Source organism: Homo sapiens, chromosome 2, assembly GCF_000001405.40.
Source record: "Homo sapiens chromosome 2, GRCh38.p14 Primary Assembly".
Lineage (NCBI taxonomy): Eukaryota > Metazoa > Chordata > Mammalia > Primates > Hominidae > Homo > Homo sapiens.
Window position 1 is genome coordinate 38,797,417 of NC_000002.12, and position 14,950 is coordinate 38,812,366.

The 14,950-nt window shown below is 45.3% G+C and overlaps 1 protein-coding gene and 1 pseudogene across 6 annotated transcripts in view; both read right to left on the bottom strand.

Annotated features, from left to right (window-relative positions):
• Positions 1-312: 312 nt before the first annotated feature.
• DHX57 (DExH-box helicase 57) overlaps positions 313-14,950 on the bottom strand; it is a 78,206-nt gene continuing 63,568 nt past the window's right edge. For 5 of the 6 annotated variants that reach the window (NM_001329963.1, NM_198963.3, XM_011533154.3 and 2 more), the window contains 3 exons: positions 9,143-9,277; positions 5,299-5,499; positions 313-1,026 (listed from right to left, as the gene is read on the bottom strand). In NM_001329963.1, the coding sequence (NP_001316892.1) occupies positions 883-1,026; positions 5,299-5,499; positions 9,143-9,277 (480 nt within the window). In that variant the 3' untranslated portion in view covers positions 313-882. Of the gene's footprint in view, positions 1,039-5,298; positions 5,500-9,142; positions 9,278-14,950 lie in introns of all 6 variants that reach the window. The other variant, XM_011533156.4, reaches the window with a different exon arrangement.
• Positions 12,799-14,340, bottom strand: ASS1P2 (argininosuccinate synthetase 1 pseudogene 2; annotated as a pseudogene).

A 14,950-nucleotide genomic window follows, 5' to 3' on the forward strand; every position in this document is an offset into this window, starting at 1 on the left:
TCCCCTGATGTTTTTCCAAAATGCTAGCGCCCCATTAACCTAACAGGTGGTTGAAAATAAGCAATTTCATGGAAAGCATTGTGGTGGCTGTAAATCCGATGGTAACCTTTTTGACCTCATCCATGCCAACTCTGCCCCAGGAATGCTATTAAAATTCTCCTTCGGTGATTCGTGTCTGGGTGAGTTGATAAGACAGAGTAAAGATTCCTAAATGTAGAACTATGACGACATCTAGATTGTTCTGCTTTTAAGAATAGGAGTGTTATCGATAAGACCAGCTTGCACTTTAATACCAAAAGAGAACTCATTCAATTTTTTTAAGTTGACTTTTAATGAGTAAAAATAAAAACCCCTCACAAGTCAAGTTTACTCAGTAGCCAATAGCCTAAAATGAAATTTTAATTTTGCTTGTTCACATAATTTTGGGTTTTTTTTCCCCTTCTCTGTTCTGACTTCTCTCAGTCGAGCCTTGGCGACAGGAAAAGAAAAAAAAAAAAGGCGTATTTCTCTTCATGCCCCTCTCACCCCAGTAAAAAGTAGGAGAAAAAGAATACACAGATTAAAACAGAATTGTATTATACATTCACTTTTGAGTTATCAGGTGAACTTAATTCACTCCAGAACAATCACAGAGACAAAGACAGGCAAGCTGGGTTTTAGGCTCTCACCCTTGACACTCCAAATTGTGCTGGGAGTGGCCAAGGCTTTGTTAGAAATGGCCCTAAGGGTATATACACTGCCTCAGCTGCCTTGGGCTTCATGCCCTGGGCTCCTCCACCAGGGCCAGCCCCAATAGGTCTTTAGTTCGAGGTAGAGGTTCTGCTGTTATTTCCCAGGTGAGCTAGAAGCAGGTGAGTAGCAAGCACTCTCTAAGACTGCTTTTTATTGTGTGGTGACAAGTTTCACAATTGTGCTGATGATCCGGGATCCTCGAGGACACGTACACAGATCAATGCTTGGGTTTTTAATTTTATCCTGGAGAAGCTGATCAAGTTCGCAACGAAGCTCCTTTACCAGTTCAGCCACCTAAAATGAAAGCTACAATATAAGCAGTGCTTGGAGGAACAGGCAGGATAGGTTATTGGAGGGAAATACCCAAGTTATGATTACCATTATTTAGATTTCTGGTACTAATTTTAACTCCATTAGGAGCAAAAACCCTAAATACATTTTCATTTTGTAATAGACTAAATGAGGTCCATTGTAAAAAAGTGCCTCTATCACATCTCATCTAAAGAAAAGATTCGGGCCAGGCGCAGTGGCTCACGCCTGTAATCCCAGCACTTTGGGAGGCCAAGGCGGGCGGATCATGAGATCAGGAGTTCAAGACCAGGCTGGCCAACATGGTGAAATCCTGTCTCTACTAGAAATACAAAAATTAGCGAGTTGTGGTGGCATGCGCCTGTAATCCCAGCTACTCAGAGGCTGAGGCAGGAGAATGGCTTGAACCCAGGAGGTGGAGGTTGCAGTGAGCTGAGATCGCGCCATTGCACTCCAGCCTGGGTGACATAGCGAGACTCTGTCCCCCCTGCTCCCCAAAAAAGAAAAGATTCAGTCTGGAAGTATGGCTTTTATATAGTGTTCTCCATATTAAAGTTTGGTCAATTTTTATGATTTATTCCACGAGGAGAAGCAGGAAAATGGGGAATTAAAAGTGGTAGAGAGGGCCGGGCCCGGTGGCTCACGCCTGTAATCCCAGCACTTTGGGAGGCCGAGATGGGCAGATCACCTGAGGTCAGGGGTTCGAGACCAGCCTGACCAATGTGGAGAAACCCCGTCTCTTAGTACTAAAAGTACAAAATTAGCTGGGATGGTGGTGCATGCCTATAATTCCAGCTACTTGGGAGGCTAAGGCAGGAGAATCGCTTGAACCTGGGAGGTGGAGGTTGCGGTGAGCCAAGATTGCGCCATTGCACTCTAGCCTGGGCAACAAGAGCGAAACTCCGTTTCAAAAAAAAGAAAAAAAAAGGAAAAGAAAATTTACTGATCACCGATCACTCCACTGCAGACCTTGTTGTCTCAAAAAAAAAAAAAAAAAAAAGGGTGGTAGATAGGCTGGGCCGGGTGGCTCACGCTTGTAATTCCAGCACTTTGGGAGACTGAGGTGGGCGGATCACCTGAGGTGGAAGTTCGAGACCAGCTTGACCAACATGGAGAAACCCCATCTCTACTAAAAATACAAAATTAGCCAGGCATGGTGGCACATGCCTGTAATCCCAGCTACTCGGGAGGCTGAGGCAGGAGAATTGCTTGAACCCAGGAGGCAGAGGTTGTGGTGAGCCGAGATCGCGCCATTGCACTCCAGCCTGGGCAACAAGAGCAAAACTCCATCTCAAAAAAAAAAAAAAAAAAAAGTGGGCCAGGCTCAGTGGCTCACGCCTGTAATCCCAGCACTTTGGGAGGCCGAGGTGGGCGGATCACAAGGTCAGGAGTTTGAGATCAGCCTGTCCAAATGGTGAAACTCCGTCTCTAATAAAAATACAAAAATTAGCCTGGCGCGGTGGCTCATGCCTGTAATCCCAGCACTTTGGGAGGCCAAGGCGGGCAGATCACCTGAGGTCGGGAGTTCAAGACCAGGCTGACCAACATGGAGAAACCCCGTCTCTACTAAAAATACAAAATTAGCCGGGTGGTGGCGTATGCCTGTAATCCCAGCTACTTGGGAGGGTGAGGCAGGAGAATCGCTTGAACACGGGAGGCAGAGGCTGTGGTGAGCCGAGATGGCACCATGGCACTTCAGCCTGGGCAACAAGAGCGAAACTCCATCTCAAAAAAAAAAAAAAAAAAAATAGCCGGGCTTGGTGGTGTACGCCTGCAGTCCCAGCTACTCAGGATGCTGAGGCAGGAGAATTGCTTGAACCCGGGAGGCGGAGGTTGCAGTGAACCGAGATTGCGCCACTGCACTCCAGCCTGGGTGACAGAGCAAGACTCCACCTCAAAAAAAAAAATAAATAAGTGGAAGATATTAGATGAATCAAAAATCTCTGTAGCTTTGGGATATACTGTATGCTTTATGGCATTTTGCTTATGCTGATGTTGTGGCACTGTAGACATCTTCCCAGCATCTGTTTTGCCCCTTCCCCACTGTATGGGAAACATACAGTTCGGACCCTGCTCTAACACAGGTTCACACTGTGAGCCCTGCCAGGGTGAATGGCTCAGGTACTCCAGGTATTCAAGTTCAGGACATCCCTTTGGTCACAGGGATTGGTTTAGGAGGGGAGCTTTGATTGAGCTTGTAGGCAAGAAAGTTTCTGGCTCTTCTTCTGGACCATATGCTGCATACATGTGATGCCAGGAGCTATTGCAGCCCTTTCGATACCACTAGGTTAACCACGTTTTTGTCACCACTGAACTGCTAAATCAAACCAACGTTGCCTGGCCTTCTTGACCTGGACTATCCAGTAAGGTAGCCACTAGTCACAAGTGGCTTATCTAATGTCTATATGAAATGTGGCCAGCCCAAACTGAGATGTGCTGCGAATATAAAATATATACCCGATTTTGAAGACTTAATATGAAAAGGTAATGTAAACTATCTTAATAATTTTATATTGATTACATGTTAAAATTAAAACATTTTGGATGTATTAGGTTAAATAAAATATATTAAGATTAATTTCATCTATTTCTTTTTACTTTTAAAAATGTGGCTACTAGAACAATTAAAATTACATATGTGGGTCACATTATATTTCTGTTGGACACTGCTGCTCTGGACTTTAAAGTTAAATATGCCAATCAATTTCTTTTAATGTTTGAGTTGGCATATCTGCTTCTTGTAACATAAGAATTCTAACAGATGCAGATATTAAAATGAAATTTTATTTATTTCTTTTTTTGGGACAGAGTCTCACTCTGTCACCCAGGCTGGAGTGCAGTGGTGCAATCATGGCTCACTGAAGCCTCGACCTCTTGGGCTTGAGCAATCCTCCCACCTCAGCCTCTGGCAGTTGGGATTACGGGTGTCCACCTGAAGTTTTATCTATCTATCTATTTATTTATTTATTTGAGACGGAGTCTCATTCTGTCACCCAGGCTGAAGTGCAGTGGTGCAATCTCGGCTCACTGCAACCTCTGCCTCCTGGGTTCAAGTGATTCTCCTGTCTCAGCCTCCTGAGTAGCTGGGATTACAGGCGCCCGCCACCACGCCCAGCTAATTTTTTTTTTTGTATTTTTATATATTCATTTTTTTGAGATGGAGTTTCCCTCTTGTTGCTCAGGCTGGAGTGCAATGGCGCAATCTCGGCTCACTGCAACCTCCGCCTCCTGGGCTCAAGAGATTCTCCTGCCTCAGCATCCTGAATAGCTGGGATTACAGACGCCCACTACCACACCTGGTTAATTTTTTAAAATTTTTAGTAGAGATGGGGTTTCACCATATTGGCCAGGCTGGTCTCGAACTCCTGACCTCAGGTGATCTGCCCACCTTGGCCTCCCAAAGTGCTGGGATTACAGGCGTAAGCCACCGCACCTGGGTGAAGTTCTGTTTCTTAAATATGTACTCTCCATGATATGTTTTTCACAGAGACTCCATATAGGGAATAATTGAGACCTGAGAATAAATGAAGAATTCAGACCCATTATCTTTTTCTCAAAATGGTAGTGGTGGAATCAGGGTGGTTTTTATTTACTTATTTTTGCTTATCTGTATTTTCTGACTTTTCTTTGGTGAACATCTATTATTTATATAACAATAAGGAAGGTCCAGCACCCTCACTTTACAGCTTCTGTCCTAGCCTTTTATACTAACCTCAGCCCGTACCAGACTTCCCCTCACAGTGTGCTTTCTGGAACTCTTACTAGGGCTCCACTCCTGGCTTCACTTCAGCCTCACTCTTTCTTAGTGTCTCATTGTAGACCATCATTCACTTTTTTTTTTTTTTTTTGAGAAGGAATCTCGCTCTGTTGCCGAGGCTGGAGTGCAATGGCACGATCTCGGCTCACTGCAACCTCTGCCCCCTAGGTTCAAGCGATTCTCATGTCTCAGCGTCCTGAGTAGCTGGGATTACAGGCACCCACCAACATGCCCAGCTAATTTTTGTATTATTAGTAGAGACGGGGTTTGACCATGTTGGCCAGGCTGGTCTCGAACTCCTGGCCCCAGATGATCTGCCTGCCTCGGCCTCCCAAAGTGCTGGGATTATAGGTGTGAGCCACTGGGCTCGGCCACCGTCATTCATTTTTAATTAGCTCTGTTACCTTGGTCCCTAGAGGAATGCCCTTGACTTCATAACTTCATATTGTCAAAGCCCCTCATGGCCTGAGCCTCATAAAACAGACCAATTCTGCCTTTACCTGATGGGAAGCAGCTACAAAACGGATCCAACCATCATCCAGGGAGACAACGAACTCTCCTCTTTGAAGCTGCACATTCACTTGGCCTCCTCCAAACAAGACCAGCGGGTACACAGACACCATGCTGCAGTCTCGGATGAATACTCGACTAGTTTTTATCTTCTCGTGGTACAACAGGTAGGGGCTGTCAAAGTGTCTCACCTGTAACAAAAAACCTCAGATGATGACAGTGATGTCACTGGCAACAAAAAGGGAACAACCCCCCAGTCCCACGGATTTAAATACTGCCTATTAATGACTCCCCAAATTTATCTATAGCCCGTGACTTTCCTGAGCTCCAGATCTGCAGTATAACTATTGACTTGCCATCTCCTCTTGGACATTTAATACATATCTCACACTTGTGTTTAAAAAAAAAAAAGCTTTTATTTTTTAAATTTTTTCGTAGAGATAGGGTCTCACCATGTTGCCCAGGCTGGTCTCGAACTCCTGGGCTCCAGCAATCCTTCTGCCTTGGCCTCCCAAATTGCTGGGATTACAGGTGTGAGCCACTGTGCCTGGCCCAGATGGAATTCTTGATTCTTCTTCCTTGCAGTGTTCCCTATCTCAGGAAATGATGCTCCCATTCACCCAGCTGCTCAGGCCCCCAATTTAGGAGTCATCATTGACTATTTTTTTCCCCTCACACCATCTACACTGTCACTAAGTCTAGTCAGCTCTCTTTTCAAATTACAAAATGCCTTGACATATTCTCACCACTTCTACAGCTAACAAATTTTTTTTTTTTTTTGAGACAGAGTTTTGCTCTTTTTGTCCAGGCTGGAGTGCAATGGTGTGATCTCGGCTCACTGCAACCTCTGCCCCCTAGGTTCAAGTGATTCTCCTGCCTCAGCCTCCCAAGTAGCTGGGATTATAGGCGCCTGCCACCATGCCTGGCTGATTTTTGTATTTTTAGTAGAGACAGGGATTTCATCATGCTGGCCAGGCTGTTCTTGAACTCCTGAACTCAGGTGATCTGCCTGCCTCGGCCTCCCAAAGTCCTGGGATTACAGGTGTGAGTCACCACACCCAGCCTTTTTTTTTTTGAGATGCAGTCTCGCTCTGTCACCCAGGCTGGAGTGCAGTGGCATGATCTTGGCTCACTGCAACCTCTACCTCCTAGGTTCAAGTGATTCCCCTGCCTCAGCCTCCCAAGTAGCTGGGACTACAGGCTTGCACTATCACACCTGGCGAATTTTTGTATTTTTAGTAGAGATGGGGTTTCACCATGTTGGCCAGGCTGGTCTCAAACTCCTGACCTCAAGTCATCCGCCCGCCTCGGCCTTTCAAAGGGCTGGGATTATAGGCACCCAGCTACCAATTTAGTACAAACCATTGTCATCTCACAGAAACCACTGTGATGCCTTCTAGAGTGCTGTCCCCACTTCTAGTTTTGCATTTTTATAGTGTCTTTCCTACCCAGCAATCAAGGTGATCTTTTAAAAACATAAGTCTGGCAGGGCGTGGTGGCTCACGCCTGTAATCCCAGCACTTTGGGAAACTGAGGCAGGTGGATCACCTGAGGCCAGGAGTTTGAAACTGGCCTGGCTAACATGGTGAGACCCCGTCTCTACAAAACTGCAAAAATTAGCTGGGAGCGATGACACATGCCTGTAATCCCAGCTACTCAGGGGGCTGAGGCATGAGAATCCCTTGAACCTGGGAAGTGGAGGTTGCAGTGAGCTGAGATTGTGCCACTGCACTCTAGCCTGGGTGACAGAGAGAGACTCTGTCTCAATAAATAAATAAAATAAAAATAAAAATAAAAACAAAAACAATAAGTCCAATTATGGCTCAAAACCCTCCAATGGTGTCCAAGGATAAAAATCTCAAGTCCTTGCCATGGCTACCAGGTCCACCCAGCCCTACCCCACCCCTGCCTACTCGTCCCCGTGCATCTCCCACCACTCTCACCCTTGATCATCCCTCTCCACTGGCCTCTTCATGCATTTCCTGGAACACACCAAATACACTCCCACCTTGTGATGTTTGCACTTATGTCCTCTGCTGGAATGTTTCTCCTTTCTCTCTATCTGCATGACTTGCTCTTCATTTAGGATTTGCTCAGTTGTTTCTCATCCCGGAGTTCTTCCCTGACCACCCCACGTGCAGGGCCCCTCTCCTGTCACTCTCTGTCTCTCTATCCTGCTCTATTTTGCTTTATAGCATTACCTGAGATTCTGTTTACTTATGTATTGCCTGTCTCCCTCACTAGAACATAAGCTTCTTGAGGGCAGAGACTGTGTCCATCTAGTTTCTTCCACTGTCCTCAACAGCCTACAACAGTGCCTGGCACAGATTAGGCGCTAGTAGATATTACATGGATACATGAACGATTTGGATTCTCAAAAGAGGAGTAGTTCTTTCTTGAGAAACATGCAAAACAACAACAACAAAAAGTATATATAAAAAAGGAGGGGGTGTGGAGCTAACTCAGGCGTCTGGTTCCTAACAGGCTGAAAAGGCAGATGACCTCCTGACCCTCAAACTCCTCTAAGCTTAAGGAAATCCTTTCCAGGCTTTGTGAACATGGTCCTCAGTAGTTCCAGAGGATAGAGCAGCCTGAATGTTTCAAATTTGGTGACAAGGTATAGGAAGGGCCATGTAAGGAGTCATGTGAGAGTGTGTGGTACACTCTGGATATGAAGATTTAAGCAAGGAATTGACATAGTCTAATTGATGTTTTGTAAAGGTAATTCTGGCAGCAGTAGAGTAGTAGAAGGTTGGAGACAGAAAGCACCAGATGTAAGATTATTATAGAATTTCAGGCAAATGATGTTTGGGGTTTGAGCTAAGGAAGTGGCAGTGGGGATAAAAGGCAAATCTTAGAGATGTCAACAAGGAGGCATTCTTGGGACCTGGTGACCAACTCAGTTGGCATAAGAAAAGAAGTGGGAGTCTATGTGACTTCAGGGTTCTGGTTTTGATGGTATCATTCCACCAAGACAGCACAGAAAGAGAAGAGTGAATTGGGGATCATTGAGTTTGATTTTTCAGCTTTTATGTTTGAGATGACTAAAAGACTTCTAGCTGATGTTTTCCAGCAGGAGAGCTCAGAAAAAAACTGCAGGTCTGGAGAGACAGATTTGGGGTCTGCGTCTGTGTGTAAGTGGCAGTTGGGATGTGTAAGTGCTGTTGTGCCTTTGGTGGTTCAGGAAGAGGGCATGATGGTGAGAGAATAAGGACAAAGGATAGAACCACTGTTTCAGAGCAAAGGAAGATAAGCTAATAAAGGAGATAGAGGGGATGAATAGAGAGAGAGAAGAAAGTGATATTTCAGAAGCAAAAATAACATCAAGGAGAATTTCAAGAGGAAGACAGATTAGCAATGTCAAATACCATGTGAGAGGTGGCATGATGAGGACCAAGGGATGACACTGGCTTTGACAACTAAGAAGTTATTTGTTACTTCTGATGGGTTTAGTGAAGTGGTGGGGGCAGAAGCCTCAGTGGCAGGCTGAGAGCTGAGGAAGTGGTATGCAAGAATAGGTCATTCATTTCCTTTTAAGGCACAGATTCAGTGATGTAATTAGCTCATGACTTCAATTACCATTGCAAAGAAACAATTTTATATCTGAAAGCAGGCTTGAGTACTTTTTGGTATTCAGTAGAATTTTCTTCAAATGGAAATAGTCTTTCCAGAAATAGTCCAATTTCCAGTCTGTTTATTCTTATTCAATCTTCCCTCAGTCAGTGGTATTGCTGGGGACAGCAAGTGATAGAACATGGTGTGGCTGAATTTAAGGAATTGCATTTCCTACCCCAGGACGACCTGTAAACATTAAGTATACTCCACCATTCTGACCTGATAGTTCACTGATGAAGGGTGAATGTGTACATATCCATCGTTCTTGGTGACAAACTTCAACTCAGCTGATTTTGGTTGCATTCTGACAGCTCCAGTACTGGTCTTCTGAAATTTTCCTTCTGGGCTTTTCACCTAAACAACAAGTATTTGTAAAAATAGACATATAATATATATATTCTCATAGAAAGTATCTCTTGGCACAAAAGCACAAAACCAGTCTTGCTCAGTCTTGCTTGAATAGCTTTCCTGTTTGTTCCCTTTCTTTCTTATTTTGTTTCCTTCTGAAAGCAGAACAAGCACATGCTTTTTTTTTTTTTTTTCCACCAAGAAGTATGAATATAGGTGCAGTGGCTCTGGGTGTCTATACCACATTGAGGCCATGTGGGAGAAAACTATATTGATATTTTGGGTCTGTACTGATGATCAGGTGCAGTGACCCAGCTGATGACACTGGACCAGAGATCTGAGTATCCCAATCCCAACACATTTCTTGTTTTGTTTTGTTTTTTTTGAGACCGAGTCTCACTCTGTCTCTCAGGCCAGAGTGCACTGGTGCGATCTCGGCTCACTGCAACCTCCGCCTCCCAGGTTCATGCAATTCTCCTGCATTAGGCTCCCAAGTAGCTGGGATTACAAGTGTGCGCCACCACACCCAGCTAATTTTTGTATTTTTAGTAGACATGTGGTTTCACCATGTTGGCAAGGCTGGTCTTGAACTCCTGACCTCAAGCGATCTGCCTGCCTCGGCCTCCCAAAGTGCTGGATTACAGGCGTGAGCCACTACAACCGGACCAGTAAATATAACTTTTTTTTTGAGACGTAGTCTCCCTCCGTTGCCCAGGCTGGAGTGCAGTGAAGTGATCTGGGCTCACTGCAAGTTCCGCCTCCCGGGTTCACGCCATTCTCCTGCCTCAGCCTCCCTAGTAGCTGGGACTACAGGCGCCCGCCGCCACACCCGGCTAATTTTTTGTATTTTTAGTAGAGACGGGGTTTCACCATGTTAGCCAGGATGGTCTCGATCTCCTGACCTTGTGATCCACCTGCGTCGGCCTCCCAAAATGCTGGGATTACAGGTGTGAGCCACTGCGCCCGGCCTTTTTTTTGAGACGGAGTTTCGCTCTTGTTGCCCAGGCTGGAGTGCAACGGTGCAATCTCGGCTCACTGCAACCTCCGCCTCCTGGGTTCAAGTGATTCTCCTGCCTCAGCATCCCAAGTAGCTGGGATTACAGGCATGAGCACCACGCCTGGCTAATTTTGTATCTTCAGTGTAGAAGTGGTTTCTCCATGTTGGTCAGGCTGGTCTCGAACTCCTGACCTCAGGTGATCTACTTCCCTCTGTCTCCCAAAGTGCTGGGATTACAGGCGTGAGCCACTGTGTCTTGCCTTTTTTTTTTTTTTTTTTTTTTTTTTTTGAGATGGAGTCTTGTTGTGTCACCAGGCTGGAGTGCAGTGGCGTGATGTTGGCTCACTGCAACCTCCGCCTCTCGGGTTCAAGTGATTCTCCTGCCTCAGCCTCTTGAGTAGCTGGGACTAAAGGTGCACGCCACCACACTCAGCTAATTTTTGTATTTTTAGTAGAGACAGGGTTTCACCATGTTGGTCAGGATGGTCTCGATCTCTTGACCTTGTGATCTACCCACCTCAGCCTCCCAAAGTGCTGGGATTACAGGCGTGAGCCACTGCACCCAGCCAGTAAATATCATTTTAATCTTCTCTTCCAAATTTATATTTATATATAGAAAAAGAGAAAAACATAAACACATAAATAAAATAGCTTGAAAATGATGTATTTTCAATGATGTCTTGAAAATAAACATGTCTTGAAACTAAAATAGAATCTTTTTTTATAGCCTACTTTTTTAAACTTAATATATTAAGAACATTTTTCCATGTTGTGACATATTTTCCTAAAACATAATTTTTGATGGATATATAAGACCTTGTTGTAAGAATTTATAATAATTTAACCAATAAATACCCTGTTTTTTCAAATTTAGATTGTCTGCAAATATAAAGTGCTGAAATGAATATTCTCCTAGCTGTATCTTTGTGTATATATGCAATTGTTTCCTAATAACAAATCCCTAGGAATAAAACTGCTATCTAGAAAGGGGGTATAAACTTATATTCCCACCCAGAGTAAGAGTACTCATTTTGGGGGGTTCATGACAGCACCAGCATTATATTATTTATTTATTTGCATTATTATCAAACAACTATTTATTTATTTTAATCTATTTTTGGTAGAGATGGGGTCTTGCTATGTTGCCCAGGCTGGTCTTCAATTCCTGGCCTTACGCAGTCCTCCCACCTGGGCCTCCCAAAATGTTGGGATTGTAGGTATAAGCCACCTTACCTGGCCTATTTTTAATTTCAGGGATAGGGTCTCTCTGTGTTGCCCAGGCTGGAGTGCAGTGGCTATACACAGGCACAGTCATAGCTAACTGTGGCCTTGAACTCCTGGGCTACAGTGATCCTCCTATCTTAGCCTCCCAAGTAACTGAGATTACCAGTGCATGCCACCATGTCTGGCAGTATTATAATTTTTAAAAAGTTTTGCCCATTTATTATTTTTTGAGACAGTGTCTCACTCTGTCACCCCGGCTGTAGTGTAGTGGCACAATCACGGCTCACTGCAGCCTCAATTTCCTAGGCTCAAGTTATCCTCCCATCTCAGCCTCCCGAGTAGCTGGGACTACAGGCATGTACCACCGTGCCTGGCTAATTAAAAACAAATTTTTTTTGTAGAGACAAGTTCTCACTCTGTTGCCCAAGCTGGTCTCAAACTCCTGGCCCCATGTGATCTTCTCACCTCAGCCTTACAAAGTGCCACGAGCCACTATGCCCAGCCCAGTTTTGCCAATTTAAAAAGTAAAAAGAGGCTATTTCTTTCTGTTTTTTTTTTTTCTTTTTTTTTTTAGACGGAGTCTTGCTCTGTCACCCAGGCTGGAGTGTGGTGGCGCAATTTCAGCTCACTGCAACCTCTGCCTCCCAGGTTCAAGCGATTCTCCTGCCTCAGCCTCCCAAGTAGTTGGGACAACAGGCACCCGCCACCATGCCTGGCTAATTTTTTTTGTATTTTTAGTAGAGACAGGGTTTCACCATATTGGCCAGGCTGATCTTGAACTCCTGACCTTGTGATCCACCCTCCTCGGCCTCCCAAAGTGCTGGGATTGCAGGCGTGAGCCACCGCACTCGGCCTTCTTTGCTGTTTTAATTTGCATTTCTTCTTGCTAGTAACACTGAATATAATTTTTGTGTATGTATTATCTGTTCAGTCATGTCCTTTGCCCACTTTTCTATTAGGTTCTATTAGATCTTTTATTTAGTCTTTATTTATTTATTTTTTTGAGACGGAGTCATGTTCTGTAGCCCAGGATGGAGTGCAATGATGCGATCTCTGCTCACTGCAACCTCTGCCTCCCAGGCTCAAGCTATTCTTCTGCCTCAGCCTCCCAAGTAGCTGGGATTACAGGCACACACCACCACGCCCAGCTAATTTTTGTATTTTTTAGTAGAGATGGGGTTTCACCATGTTGGCCAGGCTGGTCTCAAACTCCTGACCTCAGGTGATCTGCCCACCTCGGTCTCCCAAAGTGCAGGGATTACAGACGTGAGCCACCGTGGCTGGCCTTAGTCTTTTTTTTTTTTTTTTTTAATTGTCATTTTATAGCTCCCCACTGTAGCTGCCCCTCACCCTTCCCTTTGATGACCATTTCAGGGGGACCAGGGAACAAAGCTGGGGCCCGGCAGCCCCACTACACTCTTAGCCAGGGAGAACAAGTCACAATTACAAATTATCACAACAATTAGTGCCTGTACTTGGGGAATCTGCAAAGTGAGGTGGCCCTAGCTCCCCATTGTACAGGGGTCTATTTGGCAGTGACCTTGCTCTGGAGATGATGATATTCCTTCATCCTGAGGGAATTGATGTTGATGAGACTGGTGTCACCGACTGGCTGGCTCATCATTGCCCTCCACGTTCATGCTCACCTGCTCTCCACTGTAGAGAGACAGTGGGGGCTCCTGGCAGAGGATGTACACCTGGCCCTTGAAGATGGATACCTGCACTTTCCCTTCCACTCGGTCCTGGGACTTGGCAATGCAGTGGTGGGCAAAGTCACACTGAGGGTTGTGCCAGAAACCGGTGTACACCAACTCAGCAAATTTCAAGCCCAGGCCTTGTTTGATTTTGCGCACTTCCTGTTCCATGGCAAAGCCCTCAATGTCTAAATGAGGGTGGTAAAGGATGGTGCCTGCTGGGGTCTTGCAGATACCTCAGGACTTCATTTCAATGAAGCGGTTCTCCACGATGTCAATATGGCCCACGCTGTGCTTGCCTGCGACTTCATTCAGGTACATGAAGAGCACCAAGGAGGTCTGGTGGGTGGTGCCATCCTTGATGCTGGTCACCTTCACAGGGACCCCTTTTTTACTCAGTCTTGAAAATGTTGGGGGTGTTGGGGGCTTTGGCCAGGTCCTGAATCTTCATGTAGAGACCTGAAGGTGGTTGGTTCTTGGGGTTCTCCAAGATTCCAGCCTCGTGGCTGATGTGCATGAGGTTCTCGTCCATGTTCCATGGGTGCTTCAGAGTGACTGGGATGGGAATCCCATGTTTCTCTGCATATTCCATCAGATCACTGCGGCCCTTGGACTGGTTGTAGAACTCAGGGATCCTCCCGGGAGCAATGACCTTAATCTGGGGGGCCAGCGAGTAGCAGGCGAGCTCAAACCAGACCTGATCGTTCCCCTTTCCCATGGCACTGTGGGACACATACTTTGCCCCCTCCCACTGAGCAATTTCCACTTGTTTGCGGGTGATGTAAGGCCTGGGAAGAGAGGGGCCCAGGAGGTAGCAGTCCTCATACAGGCCAGATGAACTCCTCCACGAACTCCTTGCTGACGTCCTCAATGAACACCTTTTTGGACCCAAGGTTCAGTGCCTTCTTCCTGGCTTCCTTGAAGTCTTCCTTCTGGCCAACATTGGCCAGGTAGGCAATAATGTCATAGCCTTGTTCCTTCAGCCACACGAGGATGCAGGAGGTGTCCAGGCCGGCACTGTAGGCCAGAACCATGGAGCCTTTGCTGAACATAGCATCTGGGATTGGAGGTGCAATTCCTGGTGCCTGGAATCTGTCTTCATGGCTCAGTGAACCACTCGGGGCCTGGGGAGCAAAGGCAGGCAACAGAGCAGGGCCCACGTCTTTCTTATTGGTGAGTTCTTAGATATACAGTCAGATATATCTCCTTTTCCTTTTTGGTTTAGCCTCAAAACTATATTGTCACCTAAAACTTCTTATACCACATTTATGTTCTTTGTTTCTACATTTTAAGTCTCCAAATGATTTTTCCCCACATTCTTTTTCTTTTTTCTTTTTTTAGAGACAGGGTTTTGCCATGTTGCCCAGGCTGGTCTCAAACTCCTGAGCTCAAGCAATCCGCCCACCTCAGCCTCCCAAAGTGCTTGGATTATAGGCATGAGCCAATGCTCCTGGCCCCCACATTCTTTTTTAAATAATCTTTTTATTTTGAAATAATTATAGACTCACAGGAAGCGGCAAAATAGTACAGAGTTCCTTGTACCCTTCACCCAGCTTCCACCAACGGTAAGACCTTACATTACTAGAGTATAATATAAAAACCAGTAAATCTATATCCAAATGACTTTTTTCCCTTTCATAACCACACTACAAAGCACAAACAATTTTTTAAAAGTACATTTCAAATGGTTTGAAAAGCATACAAATGCTAAGCAGAAAATGAGCCATAAATCAGTCAGATGTTAACTGAGGATTTAATAAAAAA